The sequence below is a fragment of the Homo sapiens genome, chromosome 17 (assembly GCF_000001405.40).
Source record: "Homo sapiens chromosome 17, GRCh38.p14 Primary Assembly".
In the NCBI taxonomy this organism is placed as follows: Eukaryota; Metazoa; Chordata; class Mammalia; order Primates; family Hominidae; genus Homo; species Homo sapiens.
This window is the reverse complement of record NC_000017.11, coordinates 49,186,719-49,201,974: the sequence shown is the minus strand read 5'-3', so window position 1 is coordinate 49,201,974 and position 15,256 is coordinate 49,186,719. Positions and strand designations below refer to the sequence as shown.

The window sequence follows — 15,256 nt, the reverse complement described above, 5'->3', positions numbered from 1 at the left end:
AGGCTGGGGTGGGGGAAGAGGAGTGTGAAGAAGACCAAGCACAGAGGGTCAGACGTGTGAGACTGCCGGTAGAAACCACATAAGTGAGATTCTAATGGTCCTGAGCAGTAAAAGGATGCCAAGCCAGGAAAAGGGAGTAAGCGGAAGGGAATGCTCTTGAACGCCTTGATTTCCTGGTCAAGTAACATGGAACTGAATCATTCTAAGTGTCCAGTTCTGTATCACTCTCCTTCCACACTGCACCAGAGACTTCCAGGACGGGATTCCTCGGCCTTAGAAGGCAGGGAGGGGGAACAGCTGACTGGCTAATGTGGCCTCAGCTCCTGGAGCTGGTAGCAGCTAGAAATCCTTCCTAGTAGGTTAGACAGCCCAGCCCCGCCCACCCTTGGGCCTTCCGGATCTTACCCATGAAGCCAGCAAGGAGTGAGATGGGGACAGGGATTACCCCACCATGACCTCAGCACCTCTGGAAAAGTAAGTCACAGCCTCTTGCCTCCCAACCCCACCCAATTACCTACTTGACCTTAAGGCCTGGGGACAGAACCAGCTTTATGGGCCTTCGACCTCTGCTGTCACACAGGGTCCCCTGCTTAGAAGGGTGCATGCTAGGTTTAACACTCTGCTGTCCTCATCTTGAAATTCTTAATAATTTTTGAACAAGACCTACACATTTTCATTTTACACTGCGCTCCACGCATTCCATGGCTGATCCTGTGTAGGGAGACAGAGGCCCTGGTCTGATGGAGGAGGCAGGATATTCATGCAGGCGCAGAGTTGCAGGCAGGGTTTGAATTAAGCACCAAAAGGATCTCGCTCCCTGCCCTCCTCTCCCTTCTCCCTCATTTCCCACAGAAGCTGAGGTAGGAGAGGGGCAGAGAGGTGACTTTGGAGTAGTTACTCAACGTCCCCTTGGCCCCTCTGATTTTCTTATTCTCTACCAGACCACAGAAATGGGAGAGGTGGGGGACTCATCGCCTGTAGTATCAGAGCTGAGGAAGCAGGGACCAGGGAAGCCGGGAGAGGATAGAGAAGGAAGAAGAACCATGCACACACGGCCTTGCCGCTCCCCTGCTCCCCCGCAGCAGCCCATCTAATCACGCTAATTCCTAAGCAAGCTAATTCCTGATGGAGCCACCCTCTAAAGCTCTCACATGTTCATCTGTTTATCGCTTTACTCCCTCTGCCTAGTCCTCAGTTAAAGCTTGGTCACCTTTTACCCTGATGATTCCACAGTCTCCTGCAGAACTCCCCACCTTCCTAGCCCGGCTGCAGCCCACTCTGCTCTCGGCTGCTAGTGGGTTCTCTGTAGCTCCCTTGCTTAATACCCTTCTTCACTGGCCACTTCCTGTGAGACCAAATCTAGACTCCTGGGCACCAAAGCCACCAAGGCCCTTCCGCATGAGGGGCCCTTATTACCTCTGGGGCCTCAGCTCTGCCTCCTATTCACCCCCAACCCCTACCCTGGCCCCCTAGGCTCCACGCATCAATATGGAGCTTCTTTTATTCCTTGACTAGTTCATGCAGGGCTTGAAACACCCCTAGCCTGCTGCCGCTTCTTCATCTAGCTAATCTGGATAGTAAGTCACAACTAGGTTTAAACATTACTTCAAGCTTTCTCTGGCTTCTTGAGTTCCTAGAGACTTTGTGACTGAATGAAGAAGTAATGAAAAATTAGGGGGTTCAAAATTCAAGAGGTGTAAAAGGGTATACAGTGAACAGTCTCTTCCTCCTTTTCTCTCCCTGGTTTCATTCCTGGAGAAATCAATGTTCCAGTTTCTCATGCAGCCTTGCAGAGATATTTTATGCACACACAAGCCATATAAATGTTCTCCCCTTTTTACACGAACGGTAGCACTCCCATGCTATTCCGAGTTTTCGTCTGGATTTCTTTTTTTACCTTACCTACACCTATATTTTACTTACATTTCATCCACATATACTCCCGAGCCTTGCTTTTCATTTTACAACGTACTTTAGCCTTTGATTTATTGGTCAAGATTTCAAGCTACTTGAGGGCAGGGAGCAAGTCTTTTTTTTTATTATTATTATTTTTTTTTTGAGACAGTCTCACTCTGTCGCCCAGGCTGGGGTGCAATGGCAAGATCTTGGCTCACTGCAACCTCCGCCTCCCAGGTTCAAGCGATTCTCCTGCCTCAGCCTCCTGAGTAGCTGGGATTACTGGCATGCGCCACCACACCCGGCTAATTTTTGTATTTTTAATAGTGATGGGGTTTCAACATGTTGGCCAGGCTGGTCTTGAACCCCTGACCTCAAGTGACCTGCCAACCTCGGCCTCCCAAAGAGCTGGGATAACAGGTGTGAGCCACCGCACCCTGCTAAGTCTTTTTTAAATTTTGTATTTCTAGCACCAAGAACATGGTACGTATTAAAAGACTATGTGTGGGCCAGGCGCAGTGGCTCATGCCTGTAATCCCAGCACTTTCGGAGGCCAAGGCTGGCAGATCGCTTGAGCCCAGGAGCTCAAGACCAGCCTGGGCAACATAGCGAAATCCCATCTCTACAAAAAATATAAAACTTAGCCGGATGTGGTGGCGCATGCCTGTGGTCCCAGCTACTTGGGAGGCTGAGGTGGGAGGGTCGATTGAACCCAGGAGGTCAAGGCTGCAGTGAGCTGTGATCGCATCACTGTACTCCAGCTTGGGCATTGGAGTGAGATCCTGTCTCAAAAAAAAAAAAAAAAAAAAAAGACTGTACGTATTTTATAACTTACAGGCTTACACAGGACACAGTGGTCTGTACCTGTAGTCCTAGCTGCTCAGGAGGCTGAGGCAGGAGGATCACGTGAACCCAGAAATGTGGGGCTACAGTGTGCTATGCCCCGGGCCCCTTCACCAGAATAAAACCATTGGAGAGGCTTTCAGACTGCTGTGAGGAGAAAGAGATGTTCTTCCTAAGCTACTGGGCATAGAAAGAGACGGACATGTAGAGGAGGTCTTAGAGAAACTGGAGCTAGGAGAAGAAGGCCAGCTGGGATGGTAGTGAGTGTCTAAGTGTTTTATCAATTACAGGTTCTAGAATCAAGTTAGTAGATTGTGACCAGTTTAACAAAAATAAAATACATAGAAAATATCAGAGGCTGGGTGTGGTGGCTCATGCCTGCAATCCCAGCACTTTGGGAGGCCGAGACCGGCGGATCACCTGAGGTCAGGAGTTCAAGACCAGACTGGCCAACATGGTGAAACCCTGCCTCTACTAAAAATACAAAAATTAGCCAGGTGTGGTGACCCACACCTGTAGTCCCAGCTCCTGGAGAGGCTGAGGTGAGAGGATCATTTGATCATGACACTGCACTCCAGCCTGGGCAACAGAGTGAGACCTTGTCTCAAAAGAAAAAAAAAAAAGGAAAGAAAAGAAAAAATATCAGAGTATACTTTTACATGTGAATATTATTTCTTTATATTTAATTGAGACAGGGTCTTGCTGTGTCACCCAGGTTGGAGTGCAGTGGCCTGATCACAGCTTACTGCAGCTTCAACCTATGGGGCCCAAGTGATCCTCTTCCCTCAGCCTCCTGAGTCACCGTGACTAGAGGAGCATGTGCCACCAAGCTTGGCTAATTTTTAAATTTTTTGTAAAGATGAGATCTCACTACATTGCACAGACTGGTCTCAAATTCCTGGGCTCAAGTATCCTCCCACCTCAGCTCCCCCAAAGTGCTGGGATTATAGATATGAGCCATCACGCCAAGCCAAATATTATTTTTGTTTAATTTATTTTTTTTTTTGGTTTGTTTTTAAAAGGTTAGTCAAGTGAAGCAATGGGAGTGGAGTACATGTTATTTCTTAAACCTTTATTTCAGTTTTGTGCATGTGTGTATGTGTACACTGGTTTCTGATGAAAAACAGATATCTTACTGAGGGTCTTAGTACAAACAAAAAATGGTGAAAGCCATAGGAGAAATAATGAAAAAGCTCATGGTGAGTAAAGTCCTAAACTGGGAATGAGGATTCACAGACGAACCAAACCTCAGAGAGGAAGGCAGGGTACATTTTGTGGAGCCCAGTCTCCATCTGAGTGCAGAAATCTTCCTACACTCACAACTGACAAAGAGCTTTGAGCCTCCCTGGAAGACTTCAGGCACCAGCAGCTCAGTATTTCTCAAGCCTGTTGAAACCACCTTTATAAAGATTCTGACAGTGAGAGAAATCTGACATGGCTGACTCCATCTTGCTTCTAGCCTCACAGACTGGCTGTCTTCAGCTCACTCCTGCACCTACGGAGGCCAAGCTAAACATGGGAGGAATCTGGTTTATAGTTTAACTTGAAAGCAAGGATGATAATAGTCCCTCCCTAAAACCAACCTCCTCCTTGCTCAGGGACCAAAAATGTAGGCATAATTTCTATAATCCTTTACTGTTCCGAGGTCATGTGGCCAGAGGTCACAAGATTTGTGATTTGTGCCCCCTGTAGATAACATCACTATTGTAAAACCTAGGCTTGGTCTTTTGAGATGCATTCTGGCAACTGACAGACCCCACCTAGATCAGTGATTCATGACTCAACCGGGCCTGCGGCCCCACCCAGAGGCAGATTCAGCACAGAAAGACTGTTTTCCACACCCCTATGATTTAATCCCTAATCAGTCAGCAGTGTCCATTCCCTAGCCCCCTGCTCATCAAATTGTTCATAAAAACCCCAACTTCTGAGCCTTCAGGGAGACTGATTTGAGTAATAATTCCATCTCCAGGCTGGGCGCGGTGGCTCACACCTGTAATCCCAGCACATTGGGAGGCTGAGGCGGGCAGATCACCTGAGGTCAGGAGTTCAAGACCAGCCTGGCCAACATGGCAAAACCCCATCTCTACTAAAAATACAAAAATTAGCCGGGTGTGGTGGTGCATGCCTGTAGTCCCAGCTACTTGGGAGGCTAAGCCAGGAGAAATGCTTGAACCCAGGAGGCAGAGATTGCAGTGAGCCAAGATCATACCACTGCACTCCAGCCTGGATGACAAAACGAGACTCTGTCTAAAAAAATAAAATAAAATAACTCCATCTCCCATGTGGCAGACCTAGTGTCAATTGAACTCTTTCTTTAATGCAATGCTGAGGTCTTGGTGAATTGATTTGGTTTGTGCAGCCGGCAGGAAGAACCCCCTGGGTGAATACACTGTTCTGCCAATGGACTGCTCAAGTTGTTAGAAAGTTCATCCTCTTTGCCCCTCTAACTTCCACCCATGACTTCTAATTCTCTGCCTCTGTTGTAATCCAGACTAGGAACAAATAAGCAAATAAACTAAGAAAGCTATCTTGTGACCTCTAAGTTTCGTCTTCCTCCTGGTGTAAGTATTTGTGTTTCTCAAGTATCTGAGCTTCCATAGACTTCACTATTCTAGTTGTTTCTCTAGCAGCTACCATTCTTGACTATATTACGGATCAGATATAGATATAAAGACTTTACATTTCTATTTTACTAATTCTCACAACACTGCTATGCAAAAGGTACTACTATTATCCTTTTGCATATGAGGCTCAGAATACTTAAATTGCTTACCCAAATTACCCAGCCAGTTAGTGGCAGGATGAAATTTACCAATGTCTTTGTGTGATACCCAGAATTGATCTCAATCCTCCAGATGTGGTTTGACTGGCCCAAAGTAGAAAATCTTTATCCTGACTTCCCGTTGGTGGACAAAGTTTTCTTTTATTTAAAATAGAGATGGGGTCTCACTATGTTGCCCAAGCTGGTCTCAAACTCCTGGCCTCAAGTGATCCTCCTGCCTCGGCCTCCCAAAGTGCTAGAATTGCAGGCATGTGCCACCTTGCCCAGCCTAACATTCTTATGTATGTCTCTAGGTGCACATATGCACACATTTCTGTGAATATATGGGCAAGAGTGAAATTGCTATATCATAGGGTCTAGCATTTCCAACTATAGTAATGTCAAACTGTTTTCCACCAATTTACACTTCTACAAAGGTTCACATTATTCCATATTCTTAACATCAGCACTGGCATTCTGGTGAGTGTGTAGTGGTATCTGATTGAGTTTTTAATTTGCGTTCGCGTGATGACTAATGATCTCTTGCATCTTTTCATATGTATATCAGTTATTTTCAGTTTCCTTTTTCAGTGAAGTGCCCGTTCAAGCCTTTTGTTATTTTTCTATTAGATTGTCTTTTCTTATTGATTTTTAGGATTTTTTTTTTAAACCCAAACTGACTATGTATTTTCCCTACTTTATTTTATTTTTGACACAGGATCTTGCTCTGTCACCAAGGCTGGAGTGCAGTGGTGCAATCATGGCTCACTAAAGCTTTGACCCCAAGGGCTCAAGCCATCCTCCTGCCTCAGCCTCCTGAGTAGCTGGGACCACAGGTCTGTGCCACCATACTCAGCCAATTTGTGTATTTTTAGTAGAGATGGGTATTTGCCATATTGCTCAGGCTGGTCTCCAACTCCTGGGCTGAAGTAATGCCTGCCTCAGCCTCCCAAAGTGTTAGGATAACAGGTGTGAGCCACCACTCCTGGCTGGATTTTTCTATTGTAATCTATATTTAAGTTATTTGTCAGTTATGCATTACAAATGTCTTTTCCTGGCTGGGCAAGGTGGCTAACACCTGTAATCCCAGCACTTTGGGAGGTGGAGGTGGACAGATCGCTTGAGCTCAGGAGTTCGAGACCAGTCTGGGCAACATGGTGAAACCCTGTCTCTACTAAAGATACAAAAATTAGGCCGGGCGCAGTGACTCATACCTGTAATCCTAACACTTTGGGAGGCTGAGGCGGGTGGATCACTTGAGGTCAGGAGTTCGAGACCAGCCTGGCCAACATGCCAAAGCCCCGTCTCTACTAAAAGTACAAAAATTAGCTGGAGGCCTCTAATCCCAGCTACTCAGGAGGCTTGAGGCAGGATAATCGCTTGAACCTGGGAGGTTGAGGCTGCAGTGAGCTGAGATTACACCACTGCATTCAAGCCTGGGGGATAAAGTGAGATTCTATCTCAAAACACAAAACAAACAAACAAAAAAACCCAATTATCTTTTCCTATTCTGTGGCTGACCTTGTCATTTTATTATTGGGGTCTTTTGACAAGGAGAACATATAGTATCACATTAATATGGTGAAGTATATCAACATTTTAGAACGTTTTTTGTCTTTTTTGGGAAGACTTTCCTTACCTTGAGGTCATGAAGATAGTCTCCTATGTTGTCTTCCAGAAGCTTTATTGTTTTTTCTTCACATTGAAGTCTACAATTCACATGGAATTTATTTCTCTGTTTAATATAAGTTAGGGAGGAATTCGATTTCGTATTTTTCCATATGGACACTCAATTGTCCCAGAACAATTTATCGAAAAGTAGGCCCTAGCTGGGCATGGTGGCACGTGCCTGCCATCCCAGCTACTTAGGAGGCTGAGGGGGGAGGATCATTTGAGTCCAGGAGTTCGAGGTTGCAGTAAGTTGTGATTGTGCCACTGCACTCCAGCCTGGGCGACAGAGCAACACCCTGTCAAAAAGAAGAAAAAAAGAGAAGGAGGAGGGGGAGAGGAGGAATGGGGAGTAGGAGGGGGAGGAGGAGAAAGAGGAGGAGAAAAAAGAGAGAAAGAATAAAAGGAAAAGAAAGTTCTTTTACCCACTCCTCTGTTGTGCCACCTTTGTCATAAATCAATTGTCCAGATACTTGTGGGGCTGAATCTGGGTTCCCTATTCTGTTGCGTTGGCATGTTTTCCCATCCTTGCACCAGTACTGAACTACCTCAATTTCTATAGCTTGCAGTTGATAATAAGCTTTACGCTCTGGTGGAGCAAATCCTCCCACGTCTCATGGCTAGGTATTTTTGAGGCTGGGATTGCTCATACACACAGATCCATTCAACCATTTAGGGAGACTGTGGGGTGGGGTGGGGAGAACGGGTGCTCAGGGGAGAGGTGGGAGAGCAGCGGGAGGATCCTCTGTGTTTCCATGGCATCCTCCCAAGGGGCGGGAACATATAACCACAGTGCCAATCACCCTGTGGGGAGATCATAAATGCGTCAGCGGACTCCCTTGTTACTTATCCTAGAGGGACAGGCACCTCTCAAAACCGAGATGCTGATCCAAAGAAGCTGCTTCACGCAGGTCTCTCCCATACAATCCTAAAGGTACGCCCTTTCCTGCAAAGCACGTGCCCCTGCTCGGCACCCTAAACACGGATCCTGGACAGATTCGCCCAGAGAGACGCGCTCAATCCGTCTGAAGACTCGCTTAAGACGCCCTGGCGGGCTGAAGAACCGGTCCCTTAGCCAAGGGACTGTTTTTCTTTTTCTTCTTTCTTTCTCTTCTCTTCCCCTCCCCCCCCTCACCCTCTCTCTCTCTCTCTTTCTCCCCTCTTCTCTCTCTGTCTCTCTCCCTCTCCTTTCCTCTTTCACCAGCTACAGCATCTAAGGGACTGTTTTCTTTCTTTCTTTCTTTCTTTTAATCTCTTCTCTCTTTCACCAACTACAGCATCTAGGGACTGTTTTTTTGTTTGTTTTTTGTTTTTTTGTTTTTTTGTTTTTTTTTTTTTTTGAGATGACGTCTTTCTCTGTCTCCCAGGCTGGAGTACACAGGCACGATCTCGGCTCACTGCAACCTCCACTTCCCGGGTTCAAGCCATTCTCCTGCCTCAGCCTCCCCAGTAGCTGAGATTACAGGGGCGCGTCACCACGCCCGGCTAATTCTTGTATTCTTAGTTGAGACGAGGGTTCACCATGTTGGCCAGGCTGGTCTCGAACTCCTGACTTCAGGTGATCCGCCCGCCTCGGCCTCCCAAAGTGCTGGGATTACAGGCGTGAGCCACCGCATACAGCCTAAGGGCCTGTTTTCTGACTGACAGACACAGACAACCTCACTGAGCACCGGACAACCAAGACAAACACACTAGGGTGCGTTCCAGACCCCAAAAACACACCCCTCTGGGGAGCGCAGCCTCGTTATTGTTCGTGACCAATTGGAGTCCCGCAGGCGCCGTTTCCCCGCCCCTTGGTTCTGTCGCGCCACTTCATTGGCGGCTCAGGCAGCAGTAACGTATCGCGCTTGCTCAGTAGCCAATAAGAAGCATGACGGCACCCTCGGCAACCTGGGACCTCCTAGACCGGCCGACCTAGCTATGCCCCGCCCGAAGCAGCATCCTCCTGATCCTTCGGGTTCTTTCGGAAGCTGCCCTCCAGGGTGAAGTCGCGTTCGCTCTCCCATCAACACATTTATTTTTCTGCCCGACTCTCGCGCGTGCGCACTGACACCCCCAGAACGGCCCTGAAATGAAAACATCTTGAGAGAGGGGGAGGGACCCCAAGCCGCTGTAGGCCAGGTCAGTGAGGCTACCCACACAGCCCGAGGTGGCTGCTGCCGGAAGCGGTCTCCAAAACAGGAATTGTAGGACCAAAAAGTCTCGTGAGGTCCCACCGAGATTTGAACTCGGATCGCTGGATTCAAAGTCCAGAGTGCTAACCATTACACCATGGGACCTGCTGGCTTCTTAAGGCGGCCGCGAGTCTCCTCAAGCTAGGAGGGCTCTGGGCGGCCTTTCCAGAGCGGCAGCGGTGTCCGTGTTTGAGGGACTGGGCCCTGGACCGGGGCCCCACGGGCGGCGTGGCGAGGGCTTCTGCGTCCTTCGTGTTCCCGGCGTTTCTGGTCCCGGGGATATCATGTCTTCCTGCGCTCCTCCGGGGGCTGGGAGGTCGGAAAGGCAGCAGGCTGGCGGGGTTGGCGATGTGGGGCCGGACTGGGTCCAGGGAAAGCCTGCTCCAACCCCAGCTCCAGGGCAGGAGGCGCGGCGCACGGAGCCTGGGTTGTTTATTTATTTATTTACGTGGGGAGTGCCTTAGAAAAGGTATTTTGGCCAAGCGGGAAGGGAAGCGGACTAGCATGTGGGGAACAACGGTTCAAACCCCAGGCGCCCCAGGGACGCGCGTAACGGAGACTTTGAAATTGCGCCCCCAGCCTGACTGCGTCGGTGCGAGTCCTACTGTTTCACGTGGCTGGAGCTCACGAGAAAACCGTTCTAAAGTTTCGCCTCCACATGCGTGTGTGCCTAATTAAAAACCACCAGGTGGGACTGCTGAGATAACACTCAGATACCCTTCCTTGCTGGGCGATTATCCTTAACTTTAGGATTAAATCAGATCAGTGGAAAAGACACTCCCCTCTGGGCTCTCTCCCCCATTTTAGTGAGCGTGTATGTAAACGGAAGTTTCTGCAGGTCAATCTGGCTACATTAAATTTTTACACGCCATTTGACTCAGCAGTTTCATCTTTGAGACTTTAACCTACGGAAACACCAAGGCAAGTGCCAAGACGTATGTTCCAGGATGTTCTCAGCTGTGTGGTTTATAATAGTAAAAAACAGAAAATAAACGTCCAAGTGAAAATTGGTAATAACAATATCTACACAATAAATATTGTGCAAGAATTTAGGGAATAACTTATTGTAATAATATAAAAAGCCAAAACAAAAAAGCCACTTGCCAATTATTATGTATGATAATAATAAAATCGACTTACCAATTAGTATGTATACATACCAATTAGTATGTATAACAATATGATAATAGTAGGTAAAATCTACTTACCAATTTGTATGTATAATAGTGTTGTACCAATTAGTGTGTATAATAATATATATTAATTATATATAACATTAATTATATATAAATAAAATACATCATTTAATAATATATACTAATAATATCTAATTCATATATACTATGTACTAACAATATATAGTAATATGTATAATACCCCATGACTTATAAACAAACAGAAAAGTTCTACATGTGTGTAATGAACATTTACCATTTATTTGACGTGTGACATCTGACTTCCTTTCTTGAGGGCGCCAACACTGTGTGGATCTGAGTGACAGCAGCTGTGCTCCAAGGTGGATATACTCACTCTCCAGCAGTCAGAATGAGATGTAGCTTGGCCAATTAGACTTAAAATCCAGAGACTGATGCCCAGAAACGGGCATTTTAGAACTCGTTCTGCTACTAGTGGTGGCTGTGACACCCAGTGTCCCAGGGGCAGTGGGGGCAGCCAGGCCATGCCCACTGGCAGCAGAACTGGCATCCTAACCACACGGCCCAGGATCCTGACCTTGCCTGAGGTCCTGGCTGCCCAGTTCCCCTTTGGCTCTGCCCACCTTCCGAAGTTTGCTTTTCCAGCCTCTCTCTGGTGCTCTGAGCTATCTCACATCCCTCCAATAAGTCTCTTTTCTTGCTTAATGTACCCAGTCCTTTTCCGTTGCATGCAGTCAAGAGCGTGGTAGCCCAAATCTGAAATGCTCTGTTGATGATTTATCTCTGGGGAGTAAATTTATAAGGACTTTTCTGTTTTTCCATATGGCTTGACAAAAGAATAACTCTTGTATATTGTCAGAAGAAACAGTAAAGATTTTCCATTTTGGGAAACAAGCCAATCTCCCCTTAAGCTCCTATGACTTAAGGGTGAGCTATTAAAGCTGAAGTTGAATGACTTCAGCATCTTTGGACCTCAGCTTTCCTGTTTATTTCTTCCTTACGCGGGTTCTGTGAGCACCAGTGAGAGTGCATTGAAATTAATTTCTCAAAAGCTACTTTAGAAACCCTAAAGGGCCATGATGATATTCTTTGACAATGCATAGGAGATAGTTCCTTCTGTCCAGTGTGAGGGTAAAGGTGACTCCACCTTCCTACTTCCACTTCTCCCTACTCCCATTCTCTAGCTTTTTCTTTTCTTTTCTTTTCTTTCTTCTTTCTTTTTGGAGATGGAGTCTGGCTTTTTTGCCCAGGCTAGAGTGTAGTGGCGTGATCTCCGCTCACTGCAACCTCTTCCTCCCAGGTTCAAGCGATTCTCCTGCCTCAGCCTCCCGAGTAATTGGAACTACAGTGCACCACCATCACGCCCAGCTAATTTTTGTGTTTTTAGTAGAGACGGAGTTTCGCCATGTTGGCCAGGCTGGTCTCAAACTCCTGGCCTCAAGTAATCCACCTGCCTCTGCCTCTCAAAGTGCTGGGATTACAGGCCTGAGCCACTGTGCCTGGCCACATTTACTAATTTTTTAATGATAAGAGAGAAAAGGGAGACAGGATGTAATCTTCCTTCCCCAGAATAACTAGTTTCTATTAACATAAAGCCACAGTTCATGACATTGTAAAGATGGCAACCCATGGCATCTTTGAGAACAGACCCAGCCTCCTCAAGTGGCTCCTGAAGCATGGGAGAGTCCTAGGTTCTGCTAGAGGTGGGGTCAGTGTGGCTTCAGCCCTGGCACTGAGACTGAGGGCTGAATCAGGCAGAGGGGGAGAACAGTGAGGCCAGGGGTTAGGAAGGACCTGAAGGAAGGCTGGGCACGGTGGCTCACACCTGTAATCCCAGCACTTTGGGAGGTCCAGGTGAGTGGATCACCTGAGGTCGGGAGTTCCAGACCAGCCTGACCAACATGGAGAAACCCCGTCTCTACTAAAAATACAAAATTAGCCAGGTGTATTGGCGCGTGCCTGTAATCCCAGCTACTCAGGAGGCTGAGGAAGGAGAATCGCTTGAAACCAGGAGGCGGAGGTTGTGGTGAGCTGAGATTGTGCCACTGCACTCCAGCCTGGGCAACGAGAGCGAAACTCTGTCTCAAAAAAAAAACTTGAAGGCAAGGATTAGGGACTTCAAGTTTTTTGTAAGCCTGTAAATATGTAGTGGATGGAATAACAGGTGCTTTGAGTAGTTAAATGGAAAGTATTCCTGTTCACTGTCATAGCCATATTCAGTCCATTTCCTTTGTCCATTCTGAAGCTTCTCACAGTTAGCTGGGATAGAATCTGTCTTGCTCTGTGTCCTCATCACCCAGCTTAGGTGATACCTGCCACGAATCCCCTACTTTACCTTGGGATCCCCGGCTGAGCCAGACAAGCTGCCAGCACCTCCTTGTGCAGTGTGAGGAGGGATGCCCTGAGTCTCTGGGCTTGCCCCTTCTGCCCCAAGCCCTATTGCCCAGAAGGATCTGGCATTCCTGAACAAAATACAAAATGAGGCTGGGTGCGGTGGCTCATGCCTGTAATCCCAGCACTTTGGGAGGCCGAGGCTGGTGGATCACCTGAGGTCAGGAGTTCCAGACCAGCCTGACCAACATGGAGAAGCCCCTTCTCCACTAAAAATATAAAATTAGCCGGGCATGGTGGCGCATGCCTGTAATACCAGCTACTTGGAAGGCTGAGGGAGGAGAATCGCTTGAACCCGGGAGGCAGAGGTTGCCATGAGCCAAGATTGTGCCATTGCACTCCAGCCTGAGCAAAAAGAGCAAAACTCCGTCTAAAAAATAAATAAATAAAACCCAACAAATATACATGTATATGAATATGAATATTCCTTTTCTCTTTTCTTGTGTAGAGACAGAGTCTTGCTATGTTGCCCAGGCTAGTCTCAAACTCCTGGGCTCAAGTGATCCTCCTGCCTTGGCCTACCAAAGTGACAAGATTACAGATGTGAGCAACTGAACCCAGCACATATTCTTTTTCTTAGAAAAAATCAAAACACTGTTCTGCACCTTGTTTTATTAGCACCATATGTTGCATATGTTGAAGATTGTTCAATAACAGAATATATAAAATTTATCTCATTTTTTAAAATAGAGACAGGAATCTTGCTGTGTTGCCCAGGCTGGTCTTGCATCCCTGGCCTTAAGTGATCCTCCTGCCTTGGCTTCCCAAATTGCTGGATTACAGGAATGAGCCACTGCCCCCAGCCTTATCCCTTTAAATGACATGTAATTGAATTGTTATTTATATAATGGAAAATGCACAAATCGTAACTGGAGAAACCAATACTTTTTTTTTACACAAATGTATACGCCTGTGTCACCATCACCTAGATCAAGATATAAAGCATTTCCATCACCCCAGAAAGTTCTCTGGTACTCTTTTCAAGCCATTACCTCCTACCTCCCTGGAATCACTGTACTGGTTTCTATCACCATAAATTACTTTTGGCTGCTCTTAAATTTTACATATATGAAACTCACTTATCTGTAGTGTATTTTGTGTCTGGTTTCTTTTGCCAGACACAAAATCAATCAACAAAATTAAATCAATAATTTTGAAGGCCGGGCAGGGTGGCTCACGCCTGTAATCCCAGCACTTTGGGAGGCCGAGGCAGGCAGATCACAAGATCAGGAGTTTGAGACCAGCCTAGCCAATATGGTGAAACCCAGTCTCTAGTAAAAATGCAAAAAAATTAGCTGGGCGTGGTGGTGCATGCCTATAATCCCAGCTACTCGGGAGGCTGAGGCAGGAGAATTGCTTGAACCTGGGAGGCAGAGGTTGCAGTGAGCCAAGATAGCGCCACTGCCCTCCAGCCTGGGAGAGAGAGTGAGACTCCCTCTCAGATAAATAAACAAATAAATAAATAAATAACAATTTTGAGACTCATCCTTGTCATTTTATATATCGGTAGTACATTCTTTCATTGCTGAGTAATATTGCATTGTATGACTATACCACGATTTGTTGATCCATTCTCCAGTTGATGGACATTTGGGTTGTTTACAGTTTGGGGCTAGTATAAATAAATCTGCTATGACCACTCTTGTACAACTCTTTTTTGTTCTTGGGTATAAACCTAAGAATAGAATTGCTGGGCTATAGGCTATGTGTATACTTAAGTTTATTAGGAACTGCCAAACAGTTTTCCAAGGTTCTTGTACTATTTTATACTCCCACCAGCAGTGTTTGGGAGAGTTCCAGTTCTACATCTTTGTTAGTAGGTGGCATTGTTAGTCTCTTAAATTTTAGCCATTCTGGTGGGTGTATAATGATCTCTTTATGGTTTTAATTTGTATTTCCCTGATGGTTATGATGTTGAACATCTATTTTACATGCTTACTAGCTGTTTAGATATGTTCTTTTCTAAGTGCTGTTTCAAGTATTTTATTCATTAAGAAAATGTTTTTCCTGGCCTGGGCAACATGGCAAGACCCCATCTCTACAAAAAATTAAAAAATTAGCTGGGCTGGTTGTGCCACTGCACTCCAGCCTGGGCAACAGAGCAAGACCCTGTCTCACACAAAAAAATTTCTTATTAATTTACAGGAATTCTTTATATATCCTGATATGAATCCTTTATCAAATATATGTATGTTGAACATTTTCTCCCAGTCTGTGGCTTGCCTTTTCACTTTCTTTTTTTTTTCTTTTTTTTTTTCTTTTTTAAGACAGAGTCTCACTCTGTCACCCAGGCTGGAGTGCAGTGGCACAATCTCTGCAACCTCTGACTCCTGGGTTCAAGTAAGTCTTGTGCCTCAGCCTCCTGAGTA

The 15,256-nt window shown here is 46.3% G+C and overlaps 1 non-coding gene across 1 annotated transcript, besides 4 other annotated features; it reads right to left on the bottom strand.

Annotated features, from left to right (window-relative positions):
* Nucleotides 3,649-4,148: an enhancer, noted in NCBI's record as "H3K27ac hESC enhancer chr17:47275189-47275688 (GRCh37/hg19 assembly coordinates)". NCBI's record gives its function as "activates a minimal SCP1, AML or CMV promoter by ChIP-STARR-seq in naive H9 embryonic stem cells {active_cell/tissue: H9 hESC(naive)}" and the evidence as "EXISTENCE:reporter gene assay evidence [ECO:0000049][PMID:30033119]".
* Nucleotides 8,148-8,267: an enhancer, noted in NCBI's record as "active region_12351". NCBI's record gives its function as "activates an Ori minimal core promoter by ATAC-STARR-seq in GM12878 lymphoblastoid cells {active_cell/tissue: GM12878}" and the evidence as "EXISTENCE:reporter gene assay evidence [ECO:0000049][PMID:35858748]".
* Nucleotides 9,081-9,330: an enhancer, noted in NCBI's record as "active region_12350". NCBI's record gives its function as "activates an Ori minimal core promoter by ATAC-STARR-seq in GM12878 lymphoblastoid cells {active_cell/tissue: GM12878}" and the evidence as "EXISTENCE:reporter gene assay evidence [ECO:0000049][PMID:35858748]".
* On the bottom strand, nt 9,376-9,447 carry TRQ-TTG1-1 (tRNA-Gln (anticodon TTG) 1-1). Its single transcript has one exon. It is a non-coding gene; the product is annotated as a tRNA-Gln (tRNA).
* Nucleotides 9,651-9,700: an enhancer, noted in NCBI's record as "active region_12349". NCBI's record gives its function as "activates an Ori minimal core promoter by ATAC-STARR-seq in GM12878 lymphoblastoid cells {active_cell/tissue: GM12878}" and the evidence as "EXISTENCE:reporter gene assay evidence [ECO:0000049][PMID:35858748]".